Consider the following 13,478-nt stretch of genomic DNA (forward strand, 5'->3'; position numbering starts at 1 on the left):
GGAATACTGAGAAGGCAGGATCTGGCTTGGACAAAGGATATAGGTAAAAAAAAAAAAATAATTGGGGCTAGAGGGCAGGGGGAACTGTGGAGTCTCTGAGAAGCTGGCCCAGCCATGGTGCAGGTAGGGGTGACCTCATACCTTGCTTTCCCAGAGCAGAATTCTGGGGATATTAGCTATATGTAGGCCTGGCTTAGATAATCTCTGCAGACCTCAGGAGGCCAGGTGGGAGTCTCCCTGTGTGGGGGTCTGCAGGACAGAGATAGAGCTCTCAGAGCAAGGGAGCTCAAGTAGTAACCTGAATTTTTCTGGAACCAAAGATTCCAACAGCCAAAGATACCTTGGCTACAAGCCTGTGTGACTCTCTCTGTTAATTAATTTTTTTTATTATTGTGGAATAATTTTAGACTTACAGAAAAGTTGCAAAGACAATACGGTGTTCCCATAGACCTTTCACCATTTCTTCTATTGCTAACATCTTACATTTCCACGGTGCATTTGTCACGACTAAGAAAGCAATGTTGGCATACTTACTATGAACTACACTCCAGACTTTATTTGAATTTCACCAGTTTCTCCACTGATGTCTTTTTTTGTGTTCCAGGATCCAATCCATTTATCACTATCTCTTTTTAAAAATATCTTTTTAAATTTTAAAAATAAGACATACTCAAGGCAGAGAAAAGGCAAACAATATACAGATGTACTGAATTTTAAAAAAGTCTCTCTTTCACACAGCCAACCTGTTCTCCAGAGCTATTCAATTAATAGTAGGTTTGGTACATATGCTTCCAGAGTTTTTTTCAATGAGCACGCAAATATATTGTTCCCTCAAAATGAGACATATTTTATGTAGTTTTCTATAACTTTCTTTCTTCATTTAATACTATATCATGGACAAAAACATCACCCTCATTTTTCTGCAGAAATGGACATTGTTATATAACACAATTTCACATGAAATTGCAAGGAACATTTGCATCTTTATGTAGCTTTGTGCATTTCTGCTAATATTTCAGTTGACTTGCCAAAGTAATTCTAGGGGAAGAAGGGCATCTATTTAAAAATTTTAGGCCAGGAGCGGTGGCTCATGCCTGTAATCCCAGCACTTTGGGAGGCTGAGGTCAGGAGGTCAGGATCACGAGGTCAGGAGATCAAGATCATCCTAACACAGTGAAACCCCGTCTTTACTAAAAATACAAAAAATTAGCCGGGCGAGGTGGCGGGCGCCTGTAGTCCCAGCTACTTGGGAGGCTGAGGCAGGAGAATGTAATGAACCCGGGAGGTGGAGCTTGCAGTGAGCCAAGATTGCACCACTGCACTCCAGCCTGGGCGACACAGCGAGACTCCGTCTCAAAAATAAATAAATAAATAAATAAAAAGAAAATAAAATAAATAAAAATTTTAAAATAAATCTTGCTAAATTATCCTCTCAAGTGATTGTTTCAATTTATATTCGCACTAATCAGTATTGATGTTACTATTCTCTCTAAAGTTCACCTCATCAGCATTAGATATTATAATGTTGTAAATATATTCTTTACGAAAATACTCCCCCATCTGCTAGACCACAGTGGAATCTCTCTGGCAGTTTTGAGTTTAGATGATTTAGTAAGGTTGGGTATCTCTGCACATATTTACTGGGCATTTGTAGCTTTCAAATTCTTTATCCATCTTAATTGATGGATGCAAACTTTTGAAATTCTACTTATATATTATGACTTTTATTTACCTTATATTTTTGATTTCTCTTTTATATGATATATTTGTTGCTAATCTTTTCTCCTAGTGTCTGGTGACTTTTTCTCATTTAACTTTGGTTTGTGGTATCCATTTTGGTAAGAAGTGATTAATTTTATGTAACCAAATACGTTAATATTTTCCTTTAAGGATACTGGATGTCATGTTATGCTTGGGCAGACCTCTCCCCGACCCAACGATTCAAAAACAAAACAAAACTTTAATCAAAACTTTAATACTTTCCTGGGACTTGTATAGTTTCTTTCTTCTCTCTTTTTTTTTTTTTTTTTTTTTTTTTTGCGACAGGGCCTATCTGGTTGCCCAGGTTGGAGTTCAGTGGTGCAATCGTAACTCACTACAACCTCCTGAGTAGCTGGGACCACAGTTAACATGCCACCATGTTTGACTAATTTTATTTTTTGTAGGGATGGGGTTTTTCTGTGTTGCTCAGGCTGGTCTTGAATGCTGGGATTCAAGCAATCCTCCTGCCTCAGCCTCCAAAATTCCTGGGATTACAGGTGTGAGCCACTGCACCTGGCTAGTTTCATTTTTTGAGGCTAACAAGTTCATTACTCTTCCAAATTGACACTCAATTCTCCCAACACCTATCTAAAGTAGCCTCTTCCACACTTTGCCTACCAAAACATCTGTTTACTCCCTCCGTAGCATCTACCAGTCTATCTTTAGTGTACCTATTTGTAGACTATGCTTCTCCCTAACTAGATCATAATTTTCATGAGTGTGGAACCAGGCCTTGTTTGCCTAAGATGTATCTGACATTTTGGATGGTGCTCATGATACCCATGGATGATGACACGCTCATAGCTGAAGAATCCTGATTCTCCCTACTGATTTGAAATATCCCCTTAGTTGCGGGCTGTTTCTGGACTCTTCTCTCAAGTCCAGTGATCTCTCCTTTCCCTATACTAGAATCTACTTGTGGTACCAGGAACGTAGCTACTCACCTTACTTGGGTTTCCATATTCTCAAATTTTGATTTTTTCCCTAAAACTTACTAATTTCCCAAATTTACTCTTTTAGATAAACTTTATGGTTACCAAGTCCCAAAAAAATGTGATTGAGATTTTGATTGGGATTATATACACATTGATTAATTTGGAGATAATTGATATCTTTATGTTACTAATTTTCCCCAGCCAGGAACATTGTAGATAACTTAGTTTATGTACTTTGCAAAGTTTTATGTTTTTCATCTTTGTTATGGTTTTCTTCTTTGCACACCTCTTGTTAAATTTCCTCTTTGGCAGTCCACAAGTTTATGGTTTTGGTTCTATTGTGAATGAGATTTAATGTTTAGTTACATTTTCTAGTTATTTATTGTCAGATATATATATGTGTGTGTGTGTGTGTGTGTGTGTGTTTCTTACTTTCGGTCACTAGTTAGTACTATTAGAAACCAACAGAATCTCTTGGATTTCCTAGGTAGAATCTTTTATAGATATAGGAGGGGATTCCTTAAAACCAGGACCTGTGTAAGGCTGGGGCCCCACATTTGATTTGAAAAGAGGAGAAGGAGATCCCTAGGACAGAGCACAAACACACATACTCACTGCTGTGCCAGGCTGCCCCCTGCCTTCTCTGCTTTCTCTGTGGTGATCAATGCACTGTGAAATCAGCAGCCAAGAGGAGACCGAGTGCCAGCCGTGTGGTGTGGCTGTACGTGCTCTCAGAAAAGACATCGGTGTGGGCCACACTCATCAGGGAAGGCAAAAGGAAATGAGACCTGAAGTTTAGGTGGCGTGAAAGGAGAGTGCTTTCTTTGGATTTAATAACATGAGATAAGACCTGGAGGCAGAGAGGAGGTGAAGCTGTCCGGGAAGAAAGGCAACTCCATACTTGAGTTCAGGTGGTATTAGGATGCCATAGAGAATACAGCTGATTGAGAGAGGGAAGAGAATGAGTCTCAAAATTAGCTATGGGAGTTTGGGCTTTATTGTATTCTAGTTAGAGACTGACTCTAGAGGCCATGTGAAATCCTGAGGGTGAACAACTGAATGAATGAGTGAGTGAATCAATGAATGAACGAATGAAACCCCAGTCTGACACGAAGCTGAGAAAAGCAAGAATATGGGGACTAAATAGACATGAAGGAAAACGTGTTTCCATAACAACCACTGTGTATAAGGCACTTTCACATTAGCCCATGGAGTCCATGCAAGCATCTTTATTTTGTAGCTAGGACTAGTCTCATCTTTAACAATGAGAATACTGAGGCTCTGAGAGGGTAGGTAACTTGCACAAGGTCATGGGCTGGTTAGACAGTAAGCTGGAATTGCTATTATTTAATACTAATCCAGGTCAGACCTTAGTGCTTCTACTCTCTCCTAACAATGCTGCCCACATCTCTGGGAGGAAGAGGCTGTGGTTGAGAGCTAGGCAGGGGCTGGAGAGGCTCTATCAATCATCAACAGTTTATATGTGAGTCATACGTAAGCTGATATGAATTAAAAATGCCAGTTGATTGCATTCGGCTTAGCTGATCTGATAAACAGACAAAGTCAAAGGCTTGGCATTGATGTTGCGGAGAGGAGTGCAGAAGAAGGGAGGAGAAGGCGGGGTTCTCTGTGTGCACGAACAATACAAGTTGGCAACGGAAAGGACAGAGGCTAAAGTTCAAGCCCCTTTCGGCACTCATTCACTTAAGCGCCTCCCATATGCGGGGTGCTGCTGTATAACAGTGAAGATGACAGACAGGGTGCCATTCTCCGGGAGCTTCTGGAGATGGGCAATAACCCCCCAGACACAAACTCACTAAAAAATTATCAGCTGTGTCTAGCACAGGGCAGGACATGGCAGAGTGCTGAGGCAGAGCATCCACTTTAGACAGAGTGGCCGGAGAAGACCTTCTAAGGAAGTGGCATTTAAGCAAGATGCCAAGCCACATGGAGAGCAGGAGGGGTGAGAGGTGGGAGGAAGCCTGCAGTGAATAAAGGAGAGCATGTGCAAAGGTCACAATGGAAAGGCCATGGAGGCGACACTGGGCCAGGAGAGGTAGGCAGGGGCAGGGCTGGCGGGACTCCGTGGATGGGGGGAGATGTTTGGTGTGTACTATAGGAGCTGAGGGAAGTCATTGGTATATTTTAAGCTGAGCTCTGACAGGTTCCGATTTACATTTTGCGATCACTCTTGGTGCCTGGGTAAGAAAAGATTGACAAGGGCAAGAGTGGATGCAGGGAAATTAGCTAGGGGCTGCCACAGGGGGCCAGTGACCCCTTTTATTATAAACCTTTGATGATGGCCAGTAAAGACTTGGTTTGCCAACCCAACCACATTTATTAAGACTCTTATTGAATACTTATCTTATAGAAATCAGAGTCTATAAATGCTAATGAGCAGTTCTGATCGACAGAGATAATTCCAGGCCAAAACAGCCATTGTGGTTTGTGTGAGCAGCTCCCCTGTAGGTGAACACTGGGTCTTCTTCTGGCTTTTGATATCCTGAGAACAGTTTGCAGCTCCCCTCCCCATTGTACTGTGCCCCTAGGTAGGAGAAACTGAAGTGGAGGAAAGAGGTGAAAAGATCTTCCTTCCTATTGATGACTTGCTTGTCTGTGTGTGCGTTTCTTTGGACCACAAACACAAAACAGGCCATTTCCAGGGAAGAGAAATGAAGCATGTTGCATGTCAAGCTCTGTGTTGAGAGCTGCAGAAATGTGCAAGGCTCTGTGCTTGCCCTGGAGGAAACTTACTGAAGGAGACACCCAAAACATAATAATATGTGCAATAGGTGCTAAAGAGTGGAATAAATAAGATGCTATCAAAATAACCGGAGGACAAAAAGAGCTAAACGTTTGTAGAAAATCTCCCATGTGCCAACTGCTTTATGTACATTGCTGAATATCCTCATAAAGCCCTGCAGTTGAGAGTGTATTCTCACTATTTTGCTGTGGAGGAACTGAAGTTCCAAGGGATTAACAGAGGCAACTAGCAAGGGTCAGAGACGGTATTCAAACCATGTCTGTCTGGTACCAAAGGCCTTTCTTTTACACCATCTTCTTTTTCTTTTAATTTGAAGAGGCAAGGAAAGCTTCAAGGAGGCAGTGTCTTTGAAACAGTTTTGAAGAAAGGAAAGTGTGGAGAAATTGAGGGAGAGAAAGATGGCAAAAGAGGGAAAAGCAAATTAAGAGGAATCGAAAGAGTAACTGGCCTTCCTGGATCCAGTTCCCCTCCCATCCTTTCAATCCACCTTTTCCATCAGGACCACGTCTATCTTTCTGAACCACTCCTCTGACCCAGTCTCTCCTCCTTCTCTACAGGATAAAGTCAGACTTCCGAGGGGACACACCAAGTCCCCCCTGGGCTTCCCCAGTTGCCTTCTCCCATTCTTCTAACCCTTTACTGATTTCCTTCTTATTCTCTTGCTTCAGAGCCTTCTCTCTGCCTGGAAGTTCCCCCTGCAAATGGCCCCATGCCACTTGTAGCGGGTTGACTTGTGTCCCCCAAAAGGATATGCTCAAGTCCTTACCCCTGGTACCTGTGTGACTGTGACCTTATTTGGAAATAGAATCAGATGTAATCAAGTTATGACAAGAAGGGCATACTGGATTAGGGTGGGCCGTAAATCCAATGACTGATATCGTAAGAGAAAAGAGAGGGAGATTTGGATACAGAGACACAGGAGAGACACAGGGAAGGAGACCATGTGATGGAGGCACAGATAGAAGTAATGTGTCTGCAACACAAGGAATGCGAAGGGTTCCTGGCAACCACCAGAAGCTATGAGACACATGAGACAGATTCTTCCCCAGTATTTCCAGAGGGATCTTGGCCCATTGAGAACATGATTTTGGACTTCTAGCCTCTAGAACTGTGAACAAAACACATTTCTGTTATTTTAAGCTATTCAGTTTGTTACAGCAGCCCTAGTAAATTCTTCTACCCCCTGACTGATGTGTACTGGTAGGTGCCTCACATCCAGTGGGGAGCTTTTCCACAGGCTTCTCCTTGTCCTCCCCATCCCCTCAGTCTAGTGAGATGCTCCCTCTACAGGCTCCTGCTCTATCAGAGTCATCCATTGACTTCCCTGTCTTGCTGAATCCCTTAACTCTTGTGCCAGTGTCTCATTCACTTCTATATCTCTGGTACCCAGCATGAGGCCTGACCTGTACTAGCCCCTTGGTGAATGTTGTCTGACTGAATTGATGAATGAACGAATGGCTCACCAGCTTTCAGGGACCCCTGTGGTTCATCCAAACTCACCCACTGTCCTTGCCAAGCATCTGTCACTCTACAAGAGGCAACTTAAACAAATCCTATATACTAAGGAGGATACTTCCTATTTCTCTGGAAGTTCTGAGCTCTTCCTTTACCATCCACATCTAGCCCCTCGGATCTTACAGCTGTATCTTTGGTGCTCTACACTACCAAAGACATAGAATCTAGCCACACAGAACCTGGGCCAGAGCTCACTGCTGAATCTAAATCTGGGAGAAACTGGGATACTGCAACCATGGTCTCACACTTTTAAAATCCAGCCCTGTAGGTTCCCTGAGCCTACAGTGATACTGATAGTCATACTTTAAATCTATAAATAGTAAGTACTAGGTTCAGATAGCATACTAGGCACTGGTGATTCAGATAAGAATATGGCATGCTTCCACCCCTGCATGTGGTACAGTCTACAGTAAAGGTATGTACGGAGAAGCCCCCTAACTTAGGCCAAGGGTATGAGACCAGGCCTCCTGGGAGAGGTAACTACTGAGCTGAGTCTTGATATCTTTATAAGAGAAAAGAGAGATGAGAGATTAACAGGATGAGTCCAGATGAAGGGGGTGGGTGAGGAGGGTGAGAAGGGGACAGAATGCAGGCAGAGAAAATAGGGTATGCAAAGACACAGAGGGGATGTAGAGGCTGGCCCACCCAGGAAATGACAAGCTCTTCAGGAAGACAAAGCATGAAATGCGGGTGGCTGAGACCTGAAGCCGTGGCTCAGGGAATGGTGATAATGTCCAAGCTGCAGAGGAGTGAGGAATTCATGGTCCCCATTCTCCTAGTGAGAGCAGTTTCCTTGGTGCTGGGGCAGGGCTGAGGGCAGTGAGGGAGGGGTTCCACCAAAGGAGGGCTTTTGAGTTGGTCTCATCATCCTAAGTCTGGTATCTGGTTTGCCTAGGTTGCATCTTGGGCACTCATGATAATCTGCAGTCTAACTCCAGCAAGTATGCCAGCTCAGGTAACTGGGTCTCACTGGGCCCCTGGTTCTCCCTCCCATTCCTTGGTGGGGCTGCCCTGAAATTCTGCTTGCTCTGCGGGGGCTGGATCTTGACTTCATTGCTGGCTGCAGGGACACCCTGGGATGTGCAGATAACCCTGTTCAAGTCTGAGATCTCCACATGCCTTTCCTCAAAGTGTTTTCAGAGTTCCACCTCCCACTGCCACACCCACGCCCCCACCAACCAATAGCAGGCCCTAGCTAAGGGTGGACCCACCTGGCCCTCACTCCCGTACCTCTTCCCACCAGCCCCCTCTGAGACTCCACTGTGCTTTGCTGAGGCTAGTGTAAGGTTCACAACACTCAGCTTCAGCAACAGGAGATTTTCTACCAGAGCCTAAATCTAAGAAGCTGGGAGGACAGTGGATTTTCACTGCAGGGGCCCGTCCCTCTCAAGTGCTGCCCACAGGCAAAACTTGCTTCTGAGATCACGGTCCTCAGTTCTTTTACTCTGAAGGAAACTTGGACACACTAGGTATTTTTTAAAAACAAAAACAAAAACAAACAAACAAATGATTCCCACCTCCCTGCTTATAGGCAGTTTATCTCTATCCCATTGCAAATTGGAAAGACATGCAAAGGGGGGTGGAGCCAAGATGGCCAAATAGGAACAGCCCCAGTCTACAGCTCCCAGCATGAGTGATGCAGAAGACGGGTGATTTCTGCATTTCCAACTGAGGTACCGGGTTCATCTCACTGGGGAGTGCCGGACAGTGGGTGCAGTGCACCGTGTGTGAGCCGAAGCAGGGCGAGGCATCGCCTCACCTGGGAAGCACAAGGGGTCAGGAAATTCCCTTTCCTAGTCAAAGAAAGGGGTGACAGACGGCACCTGGAAAATCGGGTCACTCCCACCCTAATACTGCGCTTTTCCAATGGGCTTAACAAACGGCACACCAGGAGATTATATTCCGCACCTGGCTCGGAGGGTCCTACGCCCACGGAGCCTTGCTAGCACAGCAGTCTGAGATCAAACTGCAAGGCGGCAGCAAGGCTGGGGGAGGGGCGCCTGCCATTGCCCAGGCTTGAGTAGGTAAACAAAGCAGCTGGGAAGCTCGAACTGGATGGAGCCCACCACAGCTCAAGGAGCCCTGCCTGCCTCTATAGGCTCCACCCCTGGGGGCAGGGCACAGACAATCAAAAGGCGGCAGTAACCTCTGCAGACTTAAATGTCCCTGTCTGACAGCTATGAAGAGAGTAGTGGTTCTCCCAGCACGCAGCTTGAGATCTGAGAATGGGCAGACTGCCGCCTCAAGTGGGTCCCTGACCCCCGAGTAGCCTAACTGGGAGGCAACCCCCAGTAGGGGCGGACTGACACCTCACACGGCTGGGTACTCCTCTGAGATAAAACTTCCAGAGGAACGATCAGGCAGCAGCATTTGCAGTTCACCAATATCTGCTGTTCTGCAGCCACCGCTGCTGATACCCAGGCAAACAGGGTCTGGAGTGGACCTCCAGCAAACTCCAACAGACCTGCAGCTGAGGGTCCTGACTGTTAGAAGGAAAACTAACAAACAGAAAGGACATCCACACCAAAACCCCATCTGTACGTCACCATCATCAAAGACCAAAGGTAGATAAAACCACAAAGATGGGGAAAAAACAGAGCAGAAAAACCAGAAGCTCTAAAAATCAGAGTGCCTCTCCTCCTCCAAAGGAACGCAGCTCCTCACCAGCAATGGAACAAAGCTGGACGGAGAATGACTTTGACGAGTTGAGAGAAGAAGGCTTCAGAAGATCAAACTACTCCAAGCTAAAGGAGGAAGGTTGAACCAATGGCAAAGAAGTTAAAAACCTTGAAAAAAATTAGACGAATGGCTAACTAGAATAACCAATTCAGAGAAGTCCTTAAAGGACCTGATGGTGCTGAAAACCACGGCACGAGAACTACGTGACGAATGCACAAGCCTCAGTAGCTGATGCGTTCAACTGTAAGAAAGGGTATCAGCGATGGAAGACGAAATGAATGAAATGAAGCGAGAAGAGAAGTTTAGAGAAAAAAGAATAAAAAGAAATGAACAAAGCTTCCAAGAAATATGGGACTATGTGAAAAGACCAAATCTACGTCTGATCGGTGTACCTGAAAGTGACGGGGAGAATGGAACCAAGTTGGAAAACACTCTGCAGGATATGATCCAGGAGAACTTCCCCAATCTAGCAAGGCAGGCCAACATTCAAATTCAGGAAATACAGAGAGCACCACAAAGATACTCCTCGAGAAGAGCAACTCCAAGACACATAATTGTCAGATTCACCAAAGTTGAAATGAAGGAAAAAATGTTAAGGGCAGCCAGAGAGAAAGGTCGGGTTACCCACAAAGGGAAGCCCATCAGACTAACAGCTGACCTCTCGGCAGAAACTCTGCAAGCCAGAAGAGAGTGGGGACCAATATTCAACATTCTTAAAGAAAAGAATTTTCAACCCAGAATTTCATATCCAGCCAAACTAGCTTCATAAGTGAAGGAGAAATGAAATCCTTTACAGACAAGCAAATGCTGAGAGATTTTGTCACCACCAGGCCTGCCCTAAAAGAGCTCCTGAAGGAAGCACTAAACATGGAAAGGAACAACTGGTAACAGCCGCTGCAAAACATGCCAAATTGTAAAGACCATCAAGGCTAGGAAGAAACTGCATCAACTAACGAGCAAAATAACCAGCTAACATCATCATGACAGGATCAAATTCACACATAACAATATTAACCTTAAATGTATATGGGCTAAATGCTCCAATTAAAAGACACAGACTGGCAAATTGGATAGAGTCAAGACCTATCAGTGTGCTGTATTCAGGAAACCTATCTCACGTGCAGAGACACACATAAGCTCAAAATAAAGGGATGAAGGAAGATCTACCAAGCAAATGGAAAACAAAAAAAGGCAGGGGTTGCAATCCTAGTCTCTGATAAAACAGACTTTGAACCAACAAAGAACAAAAGAGACAAAGAAGGCCATTACATAATGGTAAAGGGATCAATTCAACAAGAGGAGCTAACTATCCTAAATATATATGCACCCAATACAGGAGCACCCAGATTCATAAAGCAAGTCCTGAGTGACCTACAAAGAGACTTAGACTCTCACACAATAATAATGGGAGACTTTAACACCCCACTGTCAACATTAGACAGATCAACAAGACAGAAAGTTAACAAGGATATCCAGGAATTGAACTCAGCTCTGCACCAAGCAGACCTAATAGACATCTTCAGAACTCTCCACCCCAAATCAACAGAATATACATTCTTTTCAGCACCACACCACACCTATTCCAAAATGGATCACATAGTTGGAAGTAAAGAACTCCTCAGCAAATGTAAAAGAACAGAAATTATAACAAACTATCTCTCAGACCACAGTGCAATCAAACTAGAACTCAGGGTTAAGAAACTCACTCAAAACCGCTCAACTACATGGAAACTGAACAATCTGCTCCTGAATGACTACTGGGTACATAACGAAATGAAGGCAGAAAAAAAGATGTTCTTTGAAACCAATGAGAACAAAGACACAACATACCAGAATCTCTGGGACACATTCAAAGCAGTGTGTAGAGGGAAATTTATAGCACTAAATGCCCACAAGAGAAAGCAGGAAAGATCCAAAATTGACATCCTAACATCACAATTAAAAGAACTAGAGAAGGAAGAGCAAACACATTCAAAAGCTAGCAGAAGGCAAGAAATAACTAAGATCAGGGCAGAACTGAAGGAAATAGAGACACAAAAAACCCTTCAAAAAATCAATGAATCCAGGAGCTAGTTTTTTGAAAAGATCAACAAAATTGATAGACTGCTAGCAAGACTAATAAAGAAGAAAAGAGAGAAGAATCAAATAGATGCAATAAAAAATGATAAAGGGGATATCACCACCGATCCCACAGAAATACAAACTACCATCAGAGAATACTACAAACACCTCTATGCAAATAAACTAGAAAATCTAGAAAAAATGGATAAATTCCTACAAACATACACCCTCCCAAGACTAAACCAGGAAGAAGTTGAATCTCTGAATAGACCAATAACAGGCTCTGAAATTGAGGCAATAATTAATAGCTTACCAACCAAAAAAGTCCAGGACCAGATGGATTCACAGCCGAATTCTACCAGAGGTACAAGGAGAAGCTGGTACCATTACTTCTGAAACTATTCCAATCAACAGAAAAAGAGGGAATCCTCCCTAACTCATTTTATGAGGCCAGCATCATTCTGATACCAAAGCCTGGCAGAGACACAACAAAAAAAGAGAATTTTAGACCAATATCCTTGATGAACATTGATGCAAAAATCCACAATAAAATACTGGCAAACCGAATCCAGCAGCACATCAAAAAGCTTATGCACCATGATCAAGTGGGCTTCATCCCTGGGATGCAAGACTGGTTCAACATACGCAAATCAATAAACATAATCCAGCATATAAACAGAACCAAAGACAAAAACCAGATGATTATCTCAATAGATGCAGAAAAGGCCTTTGACAAAATTCAACAACTCTTCATGCTAAAAACTCTCAATAAATTAGGTATTGATGGGACGTATCTCAAAATAATAAGAGCTATTTATGACAAACCCAAAGCCAATGTCATACTGAATGGATAAAAACTGGAAGCATTCCCTTTGAAAACTGGCACAAGACAGGGATGCCCTCTCTCACCACTCCTATTCAACATAGTGTTGGAAGTTCTGGCCTGGGCAATCAGGCAGGAGAAGGAAATAAAGGGTATTCAATTAGGAAAAGAGGAAATAAAATTGTCCCTGTTTGCAGATGACATGATTGTATATCTAGAAAACCCCATCATCTCAGCCCAAAATCTCCTTAAGCTGATAAGCAACTTCAGCAAAGTCTCAGGATACAAAATCAATGTGCAAAAATCACAAGCATTCCTATACACCAATAACAGACAAACAGAGAGCCAAATCATGAGTGAACTCCCATTCACAATTGCTTCAAAGTGAGTAAAATAGCTAGGAATCCAACTTACAAGGGATGTGAAGGACCTCTTCAAGGAGAACTACAAACCACTGCTCAAGGAAATAAAAGAGGATACAAAGAAAAGAAAGAACATTCCATGCTCATGGGTAGGAAGAATCAATATTGTGAAAATGGCCATACTGCCCAACGTAATTTATAGATTCAATGCCATCCCCATTAAGCTACCAATGACTTTCTTCACAGAATTGGAAAAAACTACTTTAAAGTTCATATGGCATCAAAAAAGAGCCCGCATCACCAAGTCAATCCTAAGCCAAAAGAACAAAGCTGGAGGCATCACACTACCTGACTTCAAACTATACTACAAGGCTACAGTAACCAAAACAGCATGGTACTGGTACCAAAACAGAGATATAGACCAATAGAACAGAACAGAGCCCTCAGAAATAATGCCACATATTTACAACCACCTGATCTTTGACAAACCTGAGAAAAACAAGCAATGGGGAAAGGATTCCCTATTTAATAAATGGTGCTGGGAAAACTGGCTAGCCATATGTAGAAAGCTGAAACTG

General features: G+C 43.4%; 1 protein-coding gene across 12 annotated transcripts in view; it reads right to left on the bottom strand.

Moving 5' to 3' along the window:
• The window catches only part of CSMD2 (CUB and Sushi multiple domains 2), a 651,845-nt gene that overhangs the window by 149,450 nt on the left and 488,917 nt on the right, over window positions 1–13,478 (bottom strand). The gene's annotated exons all lie outside the window — the stretch shown is intronic.

The sequence above is a fragment of the Homo sapiens genome, chromosome 1 (genome assembly GCF_000001405.40).
Source record: "Homo sapiens chromosome 1, GRCh38.p14 Primary Assembly".
In the NCBI taxonomy this organism is placed as follows: domain Eukaryota; kingdom Metazoa; phylum Chordata; class Mammalia; order Primates; family Hominidae; genus Homo; species Homo sapiens.